This window comes from Homo sapiens, chromosome 6, assembly GCF_000001405.40.
Source record: "Homo sapiens chromosome 6, GRCh38.p14 Primary Assembly".
Taxonomy (NCBI): Eukaryota; Metazoa; Chordata; class Mammalia; order Primates; family Hominidae; genus Homo; species Homo sapiens.
In genome coordinates, this window is record NC_000006.12 from 150,207,625 (window position 1) to 150,225,401 (window position 17,777).

At 42.5% G+C, this 17,777-nt stretch overlaps 1 protein-coding gene across 1 annotated transcript in view, besides 1 other annotated feature; it reads left to right on the forward strand.

Annotated features, from left to right (window-relative positions):
* Nucleotides 1-17,777, forward strand: part of PPP1R14C (protein phosphatase 1 regulatory inhibitor subunit 14C) — a 107,349-nt gene that overhangs the window by 64,581 nt on the left and 24,991 nt on the right. Inside the window, exons 2-3 of the mRNA NM_030949.3 lie at nt 7,120-7,203; nt 9,200-9,232. Of these exons, the coding sequence (NP_112211.1) occupies nt 7,120-7,203; nt 9,200-9,232 (117 nt within the window). The remainder of the gene's footprint in view (nt 1-7,119; nt 7,204-9,199; nt 9,233-17,777) is intronic.
* Nucleotides 17,143-17,644: an enhancer, noted in NCBI's record as "NANOG hESC enhancer chr6:150545903-150546404 (GRCh37/hg19 assembly coordinates)". NCBI's record gives its function as "activates a minimal SCP1, AML or CMV promoter by ChIP-STARR-seq in primed H9 embryonic stem cells {active_cell/tissue: H9 hESC(primed)}" and the evidence as "EXISTENCE:reporter gene assay evidence [ECO:0000049][PMID:30033119]".

Genomic DNA, 17,777 nt, shown 5'->3' on the forward strand with positions numbered 1-17,777 from the left:
ACAGGATAAATACATGAAGATGTAAGACCTAATATGTCTTAAAATGTCTATGGTTTTTTCTCTACTCTTGATAGATAGTCTGAGAATGTCTTAGTTCATTTTCTGTTGCTGTGACAGAAGACTACAGACTGGGTAATGTATACAGAAAATAAATTTATTTCTTTTAGTTCTGGAGGAAGATAATCAATGTCAGCAGGCTTCCCAATGGAAGCCAAGAGCAGGGATTCCAGAATCCCAAGAGGAACCAATTTCCAACCTCAAGGCCTGGGAAGTTCAAGGTCGAGGGGTCATATCTGGTTGGCTTCTGGTGACAGCGTTCATCCCGTGTAATAGCATGGCAGAAAACTGGAAGGGCAGGCAAGCGCTTGAAAAAAGAGATGGGGCAAAGGGGGCTGATCCACTTTATAACAACCAGCGCCTCATGAGAACCAACTCAGTCTCTAGAGAACAGTGTTAATGCACGCATGAGGGTGTGCCCCCATGACCTAATCACCTCTGAAGGTTCCCATTACCTCTCACTCAGTACTGTTGCCCTGGGGACCAAATTCACCCTGAGTTTCGGAGGGGTCAAACCACATCCAAACCATAGCAGGGAGGATGTAGGCCTTGAGGGTGGAAATGGTTTCCTCTCGGGTTTCTGGAATATTTGCTGTTGGCTTCCATGCTCTGTTGCTATAGGGAAACCCACTGACATTAATTCTCTATCTTCCATGTGTGGCCTGGTTTTCTTCTGAAAGCTTCCAGGATCCTCCCTTTATCCCCAGTGTTCTGACATTATATAGTGATGTGTCATAGGGTAGGTTGGGCCCCTTGTTAAGTGGGAACATTTTTTTTTGCAGATTCCAGGGCTGATTTAAATATTTAATGTTATATTATTTAAATACATACCACTTAAAACTGGGTATAAATTCCTTATGCTATGGTTATAAAAATCACATCCAAATTGCAAATTAAACATAAAGTACCAGCTAATGAAACTCAAATGCACAACATCCCTTTGCTGTGATGGCTGGCTTCACTCCTTTTGTCACTGGAATTAGGTACAGATTGCCGTCTCTCAGTGTCCTTTGAGTGATAGCGTTTGGCTTCACTTGGCGTGAATGAGTCATTTATATATTAAATCTACCCTGTGGCTTTTTTCTCATTAGCCACAACAATTAACATAATTCTGCTTGATGCCAATGTGTAAACACAGAGCAGCCCGGCACAGCGTGGTTATAGCACGGCTGTCCAGACTATTCTTAGACTGTGCTTGCTTACAGGAATTATTTTGGATTGTCATTACAATGAAAACATGAGATGTAAATGTTTTCATAGACAGCTCACATAGTCCCAAGGATTCAGTTCTTTTTATACGCTTCCTATGCCAGTTTGCTCCCATAGGCCTATAGAAAGATGAGCTATAAGAAATTGTGGCTATTGTTCAGATGAGTGTTTGAACAGGCCATAATAAGCTGACATTTGCCACTCCCCACCCCTGCCACCCCACGTTTCTCCATCAGCTGCCACAATTTGCACAGGAGTTTAATCCCGTGTTACGTTGCCATCCCTATTTTGAAATGGAGACGGATGAGAGCTGTTAGCCACAGTCATTTCCAGGAAGCTGCCAAGCTATGTCTCCTAGAGCTTGGAGACCATGATCCATCTTCAGGTGAGGTTTTAGCTTGAACATTCCTGCCTGCTCCCTTCACTGCTGTGGGCAGGGGTGAACGTTTATATTTTTTAAAAGCTAATGTGACATCAGACAGGGCTGACAGTGTAAACTTTCTGGCTAGTTAGAAGTGTGTGTATATATCTGTGTGTTTATTTGTGTATGTGTGTATGTGTGCATGTGAGTGTATGAGTGGTGTGGAATGGGTGTATTCATGTGTGTGTATGTTTGTGTATGTGTTTGTGTGTGTGGATGTGAGTGTATGAATGGTGTGGAGTGTGTGTATTCATCTGTGTGTATGTTTGTGTATATATTTGTGTGTGTGTATGCATGTGAGTGGTGTGGAGTGTGTGTATTCATGTTTGTGTATTCATCCATGTGTGTATTCACATGGAGTGTATGTTTGTGTATGTATTTGTGTGTGTGTGTGTGCATGTGAGCGTATGAGTAGTGTGGAGTGTGTGTATTCGTGTGTGTATGTTTGTATATATATTTGTGTGTGCATGCATGTGAGTGAGTAGTGTGGAGTGTTTATATTCATGTGTGTGTATGTTTGTGTATATATTTGTGTGTGTGTGTGTGTGGATGTGAGTGTATGAATGGTGTGGAGTGTATTCATCTGTGTGTATGTGTATATGTTTGTGTATGTGTGTGTGCATGTGTGTGTATGAGTGGTGTGGATTGTGTGTATTCATGTGTGTGTATGTCTGTGTATATATTTGTGTATGTTTGTGTATATATTTGTGTGTGTGTGTGTGTTGTCACTGCGGGCCAGCTGTGTTTCAGGACCCTGCTTTGCTTGCATTTCTGCATCCTGGTACCTGAGCCTGTTCTGAGCTTCATCCGTGGCATGCCCAGCGCCAGGTTCTGCAGCGCTTCCCAGTGCAGTGGCAATGCGGAGTCCCACTGCTGCTTGCAAGTTGGGGCAAGGGGGCTGGTGATGGCCAAGCCTACACTGTGTGTTGGTTTGTGAGGTGTCTTCAGAGCCCCGGTGTGCTCCCGTCATTACTGTCCTTCTCCAAAACCTCTCAGCCTCAGAACCTGGATCTTATCTTTACCTTTTCTTTCCCCCGATCCCTCATCCAGTTCATCTCCAAACTCCATCTGTTTATTCCTCCCTATTATCACTATTTTAAAATCTTATTTTTGCCAGGATCATCTTCAAGCCCTGTTGCTTCGCACCTGATACATGACATTCCCACAGCCTCCTGCCTCCTCCCTGTTATCCCGGGCTCCGCAGTGGGGCCATCTCTTCCTTCTGTCATTCCCCTGTCTTGTTCTGGAGCCATGGAGCCTTCAGTGTGACAGTCTCTGCAGGACAAGGGGAACCGGCAGCCTATGGGCCAATGGGTTTTGTTTATCCTACACAATATTTTAAGAAGTTGACGGACAGCTTTAAAAATTGGAATTTTTTTACATTAAAAAACTCTATTTTCAGTTATTCCTGAAAACGTAGAAAATCCAGCAGCACTGAGCACATATTCCTAGAAGGTGACAGGAGGTGGGAATGGCGTGTTCCCTGCTGCTTTCCCTCAGGCCATGTTTTCTCCAGTTTGCTGCACTCCTCACTCTACTGTATAGCCCCTCAGCCTGCTCCATTTCTGTCACCTGTCTGGCCCCCATCGACGTGCATATTTGCAGCCCAGAGCTGACTGGCTTCCTGGCCAAGGACCTTTCTACACCCACATTTAGAATTCATCTTGTCTCTTTGCCTCCTGCTACCATTTTGCCTCTTGGGAGTGCTCTCCCTTCCCTCTAAACCTGTTCAAATCCTGTCATTCCGCAAGGTCAGTTCACCTCCTCCCTCCTGTGTGCAACTTCCCTGCCTGCCCCTGGCGGAGTTTTCTCTCTCCCTGAATCACTAAAGCGCTTCAGGTTTGTCTGTGGCTTTGGGGCCATTGCATGTCATTGTGTTTGTCAGAGCTGTGTTTAGACAGCCCGTCCCCCAGTGCCAGGGCCTCACTGTGGCTGACACACAGTGCCTTGCACTCTGCGGACTCTGGGTTCTCAACAAATGTACGACAAGAAAGATGTGTAGAGGTGATCCAGGGCCTCGTGCTATGGGTACCAACAGGAGGGCCTCTCACTAATGTGGGGCAGGGAGTAGCTGATAACTTTCCCCAGCAGCTGTGAAGACAGTTGTTTCACTTTTTGTCACCAGAGCCACTGTTTAGGGACACACCTTTAATGTGGGAAAATGCCCAAACACAACTAAGCTCTGGGACGTCATGGTGGGCCATGGGCATGTTCCCTCCTTTGTAAGTGATTTGATCTATCACTAAGGTCATTCAGTGATACTGCTCTAAGATCAGCATACAGAAGATAAAGTTAAATAGGACTTCAATCAAATTTAGAATATTTCCATACTTCTCATTAAGAATATTAAGTACCAATTTACAGGATTCTCTACTTGGTACTAGGTGCTGTCTTTGCTTCCCAGGACTCTCCCTCAAGAGCCTCTGGGTCTCTATGTTCTTCTCACCTGGGTTTTGTTTCAGCTTCACTGACATTCAGAACACCCGGGACGCATGCTGAGCTGGGAGCGGGATGCCTTTCTCTTCCTATGCCTCTGATAAATCAGGGTGGGATTTCTGAGAAGCAGCATAGGTTGGTAAAAAGCGCAGATGCCTAATGGCTGTTAACGATGACTCAATCACTTGAGGTTTTTTCCCCAACCCTTGAGATCTGGGCTTTGTTTGCATCAGCTTTCTGGCTGGTAAAACCAAGCTCAGGGTTTCTCATCACATGCCCTTGGGTAGTAGGAGTGACCTTGAGATGCCTGGCATTTTTTTCTTTACTCCTGTCAAGCCCCTTTGAGAGGGGAAGGGGCTTTGCTTCCCAACTTCTGGGCCAGAGGGCGAGTGTACTCTGGGGTAGCACTGTCCAATAGAGCTTTCTGCTACAATGCAAGTGCTCTCCATCTGTGCTTTCCAGCACAGTAGCCACTTGCCTCGTGTAGCTATTGAGCACTTGAGATGTGGTCATTGCGACTGAGGAACTGAGTTGTATTTCATTTTAATGTATTCAAATGTGCTTACCACATATGCTTACCATATGGGACAGCCCAGATCTCAGGGGTTGGGGAAAATGGGTCAGTGCAATACCTAACAGAGAGCCGTGCACAGTCCTAAGGGGAAGATGCCTAACTGAAGATGCCTACTGTGTAGGGCGAGGCTCTACACTGCTATGCAAGTCAAAGCCTGTTTGGCCTAACTTGGCTGGCGTCAAAACTATTTGAATTATATTTGCAGAAAAACCCATTGCTGTGCTGTTCTGCGGAGGGCATTAGTTACTAATTGTTCTCTCATTTCCTTTAAAAATAGCAGACACCAAGCTCCCTTAGCTGTGATTTAAGGAGCCACAGTGGTATAGCTGGCGAGTGCAGTCACGAACCGCATAACAGCATTTCAGTCAACAATGGACTGCATATATGACAGTGGTCCCATAAGATTATAATACCCTGTTTTTAACGTACCGTTTCTATGTTTAGATGCGCAAATATTTCCCACTGTGTTACCGTTGCCTACATTATTCCGTATGGTAATATGCTGTCCGGGTTTACAGCCTAGGAGCAATATAGGCTGTGCTATACAGCCTGGGTGTGTGGTAGGCTACGCCATCTAGGTTTGTGTAAGTTCACTCTGTGATGTTTGCCCAACGATGCTCCTAGCCATCGAAAGGTCATCCTTCAGCTTTATTATCATCAAAGCGTTTCAACTTCCTGTTTCTACATCATCTGCTTCTATTAATAGCTACATGATTGTTAAGTACAAATATGAAAATTATGTCGAGGAGTACAAAATCTTTCTTCCATTAGGCAGAACCGCACAGATGAGATCTAAAACGTTCACATTGATAAATACTGCTTTTGAAGTGGATTTTTCCCCTTAAGAGCCAAGCAAAGGATCAAAACGGAAATTCTCCACAGAAACAAGAATAAATCACTAGAGAGGTTGTTTCTGGAATTTTCCTGCCCATTGAGGGCCTGTTCTTGGAGCTAATGTCAGCGAGGATAGTGTATCATATTCCTTGACTTCCTCAGTATACTGGGGTCCTCACTTTTGTGTTGTAACACACACACACACACACACACACACACACACACAAGAGGTTGAGTACTATTACTGAATAAATGCACTTTAGTAGGAAGGAAACATTCAGAAAGTCAGCCTCTTCTGGGAAGCCAAGACAAACAGCTCTTGGAGCCAAGACACAGAGAGGCCACACCCAGGGAATGCCCGGGTGTCCCCAGTGTCCCCATGTACACCTTTCTCTCTAGCTCCTGCAGATGCTTCTCAGCCATCCCTGTGGCTGGAAGGAGTTGGGCTGCCATGACTCCTGATGAAATGCAAAATTGCAGGACTCTCTTAAATGCTCTTTTATTTTGACATTTTAAAATGCTATTCTGAGAGGTATAGAGAAGACTTAGGTAACAGAAGAGATGAGAAATAGCCAAGATCTCCTTTGAAGTTCAGATTCCAAATCAGTGGGGTCTTTCACCAAATCCATCTGGCCCTTCTTCCCTCTTTTTGGGCTAGAGGTCTTTGGTGGCAGGAATATTAAACTAGACCCACATTGGCTGCAACAATGAAAGAGGTTGATTCACTCACTGATAGGCAGGCTTCAGAGGTGGTTTGACACAGGGATGTGGTGACTTTATCTAGAACCCTGTTTTCTTATTCTCTTCAGCTCTGCCTAACGTGGAGTCAGCCTCATCCAAAACAGCCTTTCTTCAGGGTTGTATGGTAGCCACCGGTAATTTCCGGTGCCACACTTCCTCGGTTCAGAGGGAGTGAAGGGGACGTTCTTGTAAAAACAGCGCCTTTTCCCAGAGCCCCCTTAGTTCTTAGTTGGACCACGTGTCTTCTCTTAAATCAGTAACTGGGGCTAAAGCCATACTGATGCCCCAAATCCCATGGTGGAATCAGGTTTTCCATAGACCCAGAGCTGTGAAGGAAGATGTGGACCCCCAAATAAAGATTGGGGTAATCACCCAGCAAAGGGTGGCTGTCAGATAGGAAACTGTCATCTCCCGGCTCTATCATCTGCCAGTCTCCCCTTATATACTTACAGATGCAGCTTAATGCTAGAAAGTAGAAAATTCTCATTTTTTGAAAGATTACTTTTATGGCTTTGTGACTCTTAATTCTCCTTTGCTCCCCCTCCTCCTTCTCTTCTTTTCCCCTACTCTCCTTTTCCTTCCTTCCTTCATTTCCCTTCTTCATCTGTCCCCATCCCTCCTTCCCTTTTCCTGTCTTTTCCCTTCTTCTCCTCTTTACCCCTTCATCCTGTTTCCCCTTTTCTCTCTTTCCTTCCCTCCTCTCCCCCTAGCCTCTCCTTCCCCCTGCTTATCTGTCAGCCCTTCTCAATTGATGATCTAGTTGTTTGTTCAACTTAACCTAACTGGTGGGGTACAGTCAGGTTTCTTACTAAATTAAATGCCTTCATATCCTCCCACTGCCCCCCAGGAAGAAGAAATGCCAGAGGTAGAAATTGACATTGATGATCTTCTTGATGCAGACAGTGATGAAGAGAGAGCTTCAAAATTACAGGTAAGCAGTTTCCAAAATTGAGAACCTTCTAATCATGGACACTTGAGAGTCTACTTGGGTCTTCAGTGCTTGGCATCAACTGATTCCGCCCTGTGGTGGTGTTGGCACCAGGACCTGGGCCATTTGCAGAGAGGAAAGCAATGGGCTGCTAAGTGTTCACTCTCTTAAACTGCCTCTCTGAGGATAAAGCAGCCCTTGACTATAGTCCATTTTCAAAGCGCCTTATGGGTATAACTTTCTCCAGCCCCATTTTCTTGGGAGAAACAGCTGATTCTGCTTCCAAAGATCCACTTGCCAGGGAAGGGAAGTGATGCCCCACAGTTGTATGAGAAAGAGAGGGACTGAGCTAGCACTGGAATATCCAAGACTAGAGCTCTGGTCTCACAGTTGTGGACTGTATCATTCATGAAATTAATTTCTAAATATTGCTTATGACATAATTCTATTTAGTAGACGATCTGTTCATAGACAGTGCTCACCTCATAGCATTCCAGTACAACGATGGATATTGAGATGTCTAGTATTTCCTTAGTGGACAGCAATAAAGTACAGTACTTATTTCCCTTCCCACAGGAGGTCAAATCTATCATTTTTAAATCTGCTTTTGGGAGTTTCTAAAACCAATTAACTTTTGACTTGCCATTGTTCTTAATGTCCACTGATAATTACTGTTAATGACTGTTGGTGACCACAAATGGCAAATGGCCACTACGGCAATCAAAGGGCACATTTGAATGTATTAATGTGTTTAATGCATTAGTTATTACTAGCATCCCTTGAGTGGTGAACAGTCTCAATTATGACAATTATTTCTTCTTGCTAGATTTAGCTGGGAGACAATAGCATCCTAGTTATAAAATTTTAAAAAGATAACGCAGGTATCAGTTCTATAGAAAATGTAATGACATAACAGAGTTTTCTTAAAATTGAGAACTTGAGAGGAGTTTTTAAGCTATCATCACCCCGCACCCCCCAGTTCCCAGGTGAGGACCCAAGCTGGTTTATGGCTGCATTGCACTTAAACCCCTTGCTTCCTGAGTGCAGTGTGGGTGCCACCATCTTGCACAGGCTGGCTCAACTTGAATATCCACCAAGTTGGCAGCCAAAGGAAAGGTGTGTGCATGCGCGTGTGCATACAGAGGAGGTAAAAAGTCATTGACCAGAGGAGTGGGTTTGAAACCATTTGGATCCTGCCGGGTTATATCCAGTTAATTGAAGGAAAACCGGAAAGGGGGATTTGGTTCCTGTGGAAGGCCATCCTGGATTTGAGCTACTAAATTAGTCCACATCTCTCTGAAGTCTGCAACCTAATGGATGCTTGAGCATCCCTGTCCTTTTTTAAAAGAAGCTTTTTTCCTCAGCAAGACATTCAAAACCTGGTCAAGGGGCTGGGCATGGTAGCTCACGCCTGTAATCCCAGTGCTTTGGGAGGCCAAGGCGGGTGGATCACCTGAGGTCGGGAGTTCGAGACCAGCCTGGCTAACAGGGCAAAAACCTGTCTCTACTAAAAATACAAAAACTAGCCGGGTGTGGTGGTGCACACCTGTAGTCCCAGCTATTCGGAAGGCTGAGGCAGGAGAATCACTTGAACTGGGAGGCAGAAGTTGCAATGAGCTGAGATCGCACCACTGCACTCTAGTCTGGGTGACAGAGCGAGATTCTGTCTCAAAACAAACAAACAAACAAACAAAACTGGTCAAGGGTTATATTTTGTTTTCAATGCTATGGTAGCAAAAAAAAAAAATAAATATTTTCCTGTTCAAAAAACTTCTATGTAGCACATGTGTATGCAGGCTGAAGAATTTATGAAGGTTAAACGTTTTCTATCTTCAGACTACCAACTGGTGCTGAAATGAAGTGCGTTTCTAGATAGTATGAAATCTTGATTTACCATTATAAAATAATACTATGAATATAAAATGATTTTTAATTTTGCCTTAAAAATAATGCTGAATTTTAAAATAATAAAACTGATTTTCTGTGTGTTTAATTCTAGGAAGCTCTTGTAGACTGCTACAAACCAACAGAGGTAAGCAAATCACTTTTCCTAAATGCCATGTTTGAACTGGTTTTTATTAAATCAATTTGTCTATTTTTAAAGCAAACCACAATAAGTAGGTTTGAGTGTGTGTATACCAATTAGCAATTATTATCCATGAGTGCATATGTTTGAATAGCTCTAACTTCATTATTTCTAAGCCTAAACATGTCTAGTTCAGAGATACTTAAAATTAATGGAGCAGAGTGTGTTGCTTGTGTTAGATAAAAGCCAAACTTCAAAGGAAATTGTGAAAGGGTTTGGAATCATTTTAGTAAAAGTTTTAGGTTTATAACTGGTTTATATATTCTATTGGTTTATTGGTATGTATTTTTTTTTTTTTTTTTTGAGACGGAGTCTCGCTCTGTTGCGCAGGTTGGAGTGCAGTGGTGTGATCTCGGCTCACTGCAACCTCCGCCTCCTGAGTTCAACCAATTCTCCCGCCTCAGCCTCCTGAGTAGCTGGGATTACAGACGTGCGTCACCACGCCCGGCTAATTTTTGTATTTTTAGTAGAGACGGGGTTTCACCATGTTGGCCAGGCTGGTCTCAAACTCCTGACCTCAGGTATTCACCCGCCTCGGCCTCCCAAAGTGCTGGGATTACAGGTGTGAGCCACCGCACCCGGCCTATCGGTATGTATTTTTTAAAAGCGTAAAGGCAGGTCTGTCTTTCCAAAGAGTTACCTTTATTGGGAAAAAATGTTATGCTTTGTTTAGATATTTATCAAGTGTAATGTATAAACATTATCATAAAAATGAGCATTAATGTGATTAGACTAAAGCATTTCATGTAGACTCTCATGACTGACAGCACATAGTAGAAATTAAGGTTTTAATCAGTTATGAAAATATTAGCAAGAGAAGTACTTTCTTCCTCTGATAAATTGGAGAAATTATAAGATCCGTCAGATGTTTTGAAGTCTGTTTGTAACATCAAAGCAATGGTGATAAGACTTCTGATTTTTGAAGAGGTCTAATTAAAAGGGGGGAGGAAAGCATGCTTTTACAAGTGTCTGATTTCAATGACTTGGTTTGGGACTAGTTACCTATTTGAGCTTTATGCTTCCAACCTCCAGCTTTGATTACATCTTGCAGTCATAGAGATTTTTAATTTTAATTTTAGCCACCAAAATATATACTTTTAGACCAGGCTTGGTGGCCCACACCTGTAATCCCAGGCCAATCACTTGAGTGCAGCAGTTCAAGACCAACCTGGTCAACATGGCGAGATCTCGTCTTTTAAGAAAAAAAAATTGGCCTGTCGCGGTGGCTCATGCCTGTGATCACAGCACTTTGGGGGGCCGAGACGGGTGGATCACGAGGTCAGGAGATCGAGGCCATCCTGGCTAACACGGTGAAACCCCGTCTCTACTAAAAATACAAAAAATTAGCCGGGTGTGGTGGCCGGTGCCTGTAGTCCTAGCTACTCGGGAGGCTGAGGCAGGAGAATGGCGTGAACCTGGGAGGCGGAGCTTGCAGTGAGCCGAGATTGCGCCACTGCACTCCAGCCTGGGCGACAGAGCGAGACTCCGTCTCAGAAAAAAAAAGAAAAAAGAAAACAATATTATATGTATATATTTAAATTAATGTAATACTAATACATCTGAACCCCCCCCCCCAAAAAAAAATTCTGAGGCTTATTTTAAAAAGGTAACAGTGACTTTCTCCACCTTTCAGGCCCTTTTCCTATTTTATATTATATTTATGTATTGTATTTCTATATTTTCATAAGCAACACTTTTGCGCTTTTGGCTGTTTCCCTTCCCTGCTATTTGCTCTTTTCTTTCTTTTTTTCTTTTAGAGACAGGGTCTCATTCTGTCACCCAGGCTGGAGTGCAGTGGTGCAATCATAACTCCCTGCAGCCTCGAACTCCTGTATTCAAGCAACTCTCCCACCTCAGCCTCCTGAGTAACTAGTACTGCAGTCGTGCATTACCACACCCAGCTAAATTATTTTTATTTTTTTATAGAGACTGGGTCTCACTATGTTGCCCAGACTTGTCTTGAACTCCTGGCCTCAAGCTATCCTCCTGCTTCAGCCTCTCAAAGTGCTGGAATTACAGGCATGAGCCACTATGCCTGGCCTACTTATTCTTTTATTCTTAAATATGCATTTACTGTTTTTTTTTCATTTATTGACTTTAGGAGAAAGATGATCACTCTCTCTCTCTCCACACAATTCCTTTTCATCTATACCCTCATCAGTTATTTAACAGTATTTTGTTAAATTAGTAGTCAAGGTTTATAATACTATGATTTAAACAAATGTTTTTCACTGTTAAGCTAACAGTAAATATGATCATGGTTCCTTTTTGTATAGCCCTTTGTTTCTCTTGGAGTTGACAATCCTTGCCTTTATTATTATTATTATTATTATTTTGAGACAGGGTCTCGCTCTGTCACCTAGGCTGGAGTGCAGTGGTACAATCTTGGCTCACCGCAACCTCTGCCCCCCAGGTTCAAGTGATTCTTGTGCTTCAGCCTCCTGAGTAGCTGGGATTACTAAGCCCAGCTAATTTTTGTATTTTTAGTAGAGATGGGGTTTTGCCATGTTGGCCAGGCTGGTCTCAAACTCCTGGCCCCAAGTGATCCACCTGCCTTGGCCTCCCAAAGTGCTGGGATTACAGGCGTGAGTCACTGTGCCCGGCCATAACGCTTGTCTTTGGTTTTGTCTAATACCAATTGGTATTTTTTGTTGAACTCTCCAGTGTGTTTGTCAAACATGTAACATATTTCCTGACTGTTCAATCACATCATTACCATCCCTCTGCCCCCAGACTTTTCTCCTGGAGCCCCTATACAACAATCTGGAGAAGTTTTTCTTTGTGTTTATGTTTTAAATTATTCTACTCTCTGCATTGTCTCTGTTTTCTCTGAATCTTACCTTTTTCTGCCTATTTTCATGTCTTTGCTGATTTTTGGTAGCATAGTCACATTTTAATATGGGGAGACAGTAAACTGATTTGCATTTGTGTGTATAAGAACGGCTTGTTTTTTTGTTGTTTTTGAACAGAGTCTTGCTCTGTCACCCCAGGCTGGGGTGCAGTGGCGCCATGTAGGCTCGCTGAAAAACCTGCCTTCCGGGTTCAAGCGATGCTCGTGCCTCAGCCTCCTGAGTAGTTGGGATTATAGGCATGGGGCACCATGCCTGGCTAATTTTTGTATTTTTAGTAGAGGCGGATTTTGCCATGTTGGCCAGGCTGGTCTGAAACTTCTGGTTTCAAGTGATCCACCCACCTTGGCCTTCCAAAGTGCTGGGATTATAAGCAAGAGCCACCGCGCCCGGCCAAGACTGTTTGGCTATTGCTGGGTCTCACTATGGAGTGACCAAGTTGCAAGCCAGATTTTTCTTCTGAATCTGTTATGTGTGGAAGGGGATGGCTCCTCAAAAATGTCAATGTTTGGTTCTTTTTCTCTGGAGATTCAGGATTTTTAGAGTTTGACCCTCAAATTCCCTATGTGAGGGTTGACGGTCTGACTTTAGGCTTTCTGGAAGCAGAGAGGAGAAGGCAGGAGACTTTACCATTTAGCTGTTTGGGGACTAAAGCTTCTTTATTTATAGGTAGTTGGGGAATTAATATAGGAAAGCGATTTTAAATTGTGTGATGGGTTAGACAAGAAAAATAGAATTGTAGTCAAGAAAAATGATGAATGATGTAGATGAATGAACATGTAATATGGGAGTGGAAGGGGTTGCTGCAGAGAGGAGGCCCCATTGGTCGCTGCAGACACGCATTCACTAATTTCATCAATCCCTTTTTCTTCAGTTCTCCACCTAAGTGAAGAAATTCATGCTTTGGTTATTTGGGTGAGAGAGTTTGGACTTGCAGATTTCTCTTTTGCCTGGCTTCGCAGCCAACAGTGAAATGCAGTAAAAGCACTGCATTTTCTCATGGAAATGAGCCCGTTCTCTCCCTAGGTTTTATAATGTCTAGGGAACCAATATTTACACTAGTTAGGAGCCATGCTGTTCAATGAAAATGGTGGGTCTTGCCTCCAGAGCAAAAATATTTCTCATCTGGTTTCTATACGGAGGGTCAGGAGATGAAAGAATGTATTATTTGAACACTCTTCAGAGTTCCAAAAGCAGAAAAAGGAGCTGGAGTCTCTAACTGAACATCCCTGTGTTCTTTTTTTAGCTCCCATTTCTAGGAATGGAGAAATGATGTAAAATGCTGAGGAATTTCATTCAAGTTCACTTATCTGTTAACGGGTCATTTCAAAAAGGCTGGACACTTTTGCCTTTGAGCATATGATCACAGGAAACAGATTTTACTGGCATCTGGATTGTGATAATGACAATTAATAGCTTATATTTTTCCAGAGCTCTGTAGTTCACATTGCACTAACATACATTACTTTATTTAATCCTCACAATTGTCACTTTAAGTAGACAGGGTTTGGGTAGCTTGCCCGTAATGTCAGAGCAGTGAGCAAGAGAGTCAGGACTCAACCCGAGTTTCTGACACCTGATCTTGTGCTCTTTCTTTCCAATCTGCCAGTCTTCCTAAGCTACTTGACTCAGCAAGAGGCTTAGAACTTTATAGGACTTTGCCCTGTCTGAACTAAATGCCTATCAATTAATGGTGTTCTTTTCTAAGCAGGGATCTCTAGAGGTGCTGTTATTGATCAAAATTATTTTACTTAAAATTGTTATGCCACTTGGAAGTTAGAAATGTGAGGAAGATGTCTTTGCTGATTCAGATACTTTTATTTTATAATCCCTCATTGCAGAAGTAGGGTGAGTGGTGGAAAGAATACTGGAATTTGAGTCAAAAGTCTTATGCCAATGCTAGCACTAACTGTGTGACTTCAAGCAATGTTCTCAACCTCTCTGAGTCTCCCTTTCCTCCTCTATAAAATGGAGGTAATAATAACCATGTCTCTGCATATTGGTAAGGATTATTTGCTGTGATAATTTTTAAAATTTATTTTATTTTAATTTTTTTTGAGAAAGAGTCTCACTGTGTTGCCCAGGCTGCAGCGTGGTGGCACAATCTTAGCTCACTGCAGCCTCAATCTCCTGGGCTCAAGCGATCCTCCTGCCTCAGCCCCCCGGGTAGCTGAGACAACAGGTACACACCACCACACTCAGCTAATTTTTGTTATTTTTGTAGAGACAAAGTTTCTCCATGTTGCCCAGGCTAGTCTCAAACTCCCGAGCTCCAGCAGTCCACCTGCCTGGGCCTCCCAAAGTGCTGGGATTACAGGTATGAGCCGCCAAGCCTGACCCACAATGATAATTTTAGTGGTGGTAACGATAGCAATGATAATGGCTAAAAGATCACTAGGCACTTAGCAGATGCCGGGTGCTGATCTAGTCACATCTCATGTATTAACAGATTTAATCTTTTTTTTCAGAAAAATCTTGACATTTGTTAAATTCTTCATAGCTTTTAAAAGATAATTTTAAGTAGACTTTATTATTTAGAGCAGTTTTAGGTTCACAGTGAAATTGACTAGAAGGTACAGATTTCCAATATGCTCACTCCCATCCACCTCACACATGTACACAGCCTCCCCAATTGTCACCATCTCCTCACAGAGAGGTACATTTGTTAGAACTGGTGAACCTACATTAACACATCATTATCGCCCGAAGTCCACGGTTAACATTAGGATTCACTCTTGGTACTGTACATTATGGATTTGACTGATTTCATAATGACATGTATCCACCACTACAGCATCATACAGAGTAGTGTCACTGCCCTAACAATCCTCCGTGCTCTGCCTGTTCATCTCTCCTTCCCCACTCACCCCTGGCAACCACTGATCTCTTTATTGTCTCCATAGTTTTACCTTTCTCAGAATGTCATATCTTTGGAATTAACCGTATATAGCCTTTCTATTTTCAGAATAGCCATAGCATGAACATTTGAAGCCTTTTCAAACTGGCTTTTTTTTTTTTTTTTTTTTTTTTGTGGTGGGGTCTTGCTTTGTCTCTCAGGCTGGAATGCAGTGGCACGATCTCTGCTCACTGCAACCTCTGCCTTCCAGGTTCAAGTGATTCTCCTACCTCAGTCTCAGTAGCTGGGATTACAGGCGCGTGCCACCACACCCGGCTAATTTTTGTGTTTTTACTAGAGACTGGGTTTCACCATGTTGGCAAGGCTGGTCTTGAGCTCCTGACCTCAGGTGATGTGCCCACCTCAGACTCCCAAAGTGCTGGGATTACAGGCATTAGCCACCATGCCCAGCCCAAAATGGCTTTTAAAAAATGTGATGTCAACATTTAGCAGCTACAGACTGGCTTCTTTTCCTTAGTAATATGCATTTAAGTTTGCTCCAGGTCTTTTCATTGCTTGATAGCTCATTTCTTTTCAGTGCTGAATAATATTCTATTATCTGGATGTACCAGAGTTTATCCATTCATTCACCTACTGAAATACTCTTGGTTGCTTCCAAGTTTTGGCAATTAATGAATAAAGCTGCTATAAACATTCCTGAGCAGGTTTTTGTGTGAACATAAGTTCTCAAGTCTTTTGGGTAAATACCAAGGAGTAGGATTACTGTATTGTAAGAAAAGTGTGTTTAGGTTTTGTAAGAATCTGCTTACCTGTCTTCCAAAGCAGCTGTACCATTTTGCATTCTCACCAGCAAAGAGAGTTCTTGTTGCTCCACATCCTCACCAGCATTTAGTGTTGTCATTGTTCTGGATTTGGACCATTCTAATTGGTGTGTAGTGGTATCTCATTATTGTTTTAATTTGCATTTCTCTGGTGACGTATGATTTGGAGAAACTTTTCATATGCTTATTTGTCATCTATATAACTATAGATGTTAACTATGTCTGTTAAGTTTTCTGGTCCATCTTTTAACTGGGTGTGTTTGTTTTTTTTTGTTGTTGAATTTTAAGGGTTCTTTGAATATTTTGGATAATAGGCCTTTATCAGACATGTTCTTTGCAATATTTTCTCCCAGTCTGTGGCTTCTCTTTTAATTCTCTTGACAGGGTGTTTCACAAAGCAGGAATTTTTGTTTTAGTGAAATCCACCTTATCAATGTTTTCTTTCACGGATCATGCCTTTTGTGTTGTATCTACAAATCACTGGAAAACACAAGATCATTTAGATTTTTCTCCTACATTACCTTTTGGGAGATTTATAGTTTTGCACTTTACATTAGGTCCATGTGCGATCCATTTGAGTTAATTTTTGTGAAGAGTGTAAGGTCTGGGTCCAGGTTCATTTTTTGCACGTGGATTTCCAGTTGTCTCAGGATCATTTGTTGAAAAGCCTACCTTTGCTCCTTTGAATGCCTTTGCTTTTTTGTCAAAGATCAGTTGATATTTATGTCAGTCTGTTTCTGGGTCTCTTTTCTATTCCAATTATCTACGTGTCCATTCTTTCACCAATACCACACTGTCCTGATTATTGTGGCTTCAAGTATGTCTTGAGGTTGGTAGTGTGAGTCCTCCACCTTTATTTTTGTCCTGCAACATTGTGTTGGCTGTTCTGGGTCTTTTGTCTTTCTATATAAACCTTAGAATCAGTTTATTGATTTTATCCACAGAACAGCTTCCTGGGATTTTTATTGGGATTTCATTGCGTCTGTAGATCAAGTTGGGAAGAACTGACATACTGGCCATATTGTATCTTCCTATCTATGAACATAGAATACCTCTCCAATTATTTCTGTCGAGATATCCTCAAGCTTAAAGATTCTTTCCTCAGCTGTGTGCAGTTTACTAATGAACCCATCAAAGGCATTATTTCTGTTATAGTATTTTTCATCTCTAGCATTTCTCTTAGAATTTCCATCTCTCTACTTACATTCCCCATCTGTTCTTGCATGCTGTCTACTTTATCTATCGGAGCCCTTAGCGTATTAAACAGAGTTGTTTTAAATGCCTGGATGGATAATTCCAACATTCCTGCTGTATCTGAGTGGTTCTAATGCTTGCTCTGTCTCTTCAAATTTTTTTGCCTTTTACTGTGTGTTATAATTTTTTTTTGATATCTGAATATGATGAATTAGGTAAAAGGAACTGCTGTAAATGGGCCTTAAGTAGTGTGGTAGTAAGGTGTGAGGAGAGGGGAAGCATCCATAGTCCTGTGATTAGTTCTCAGTCATATAGGGAGCCTGTGTCCTTGAACTGTGAACTTCACAAGTGCTTCTCGGTCGCCCCCATGCCCCTTTAGGTGGAATGGATAGCTAGAGCCAGCTGGAGTTTGGTATTTCCCTTCCCCCAGGTCACTCAGGCTCTACTAAAACCCTGTCAGGTTAGGCTCTGGTTAGTTTCTCCTCAGGACAGATCTTGTTAAATAAACTTTTAGACTTTGGGGAAAAAAAAAGAAGAAGAAAAAGAAGAAGAACAGAATGCTCCGGTGTATTTCAAAATGGTTCCTTTTTATCTCGTCCTGCTGGAAGTTCAGGGGAATTTTTCTCCAGTGTTCACTGTGAGGACCTGGGAGAATTCTTAGAGGTAAGACTCGTACAAAGGTATGCTCCTACCTCTGCCCGTGACTGGATCCCCATGGAATTTTTATCTCTAAAACTTGTCCACTCTGAGACTAGCAATTTGTCAATTCC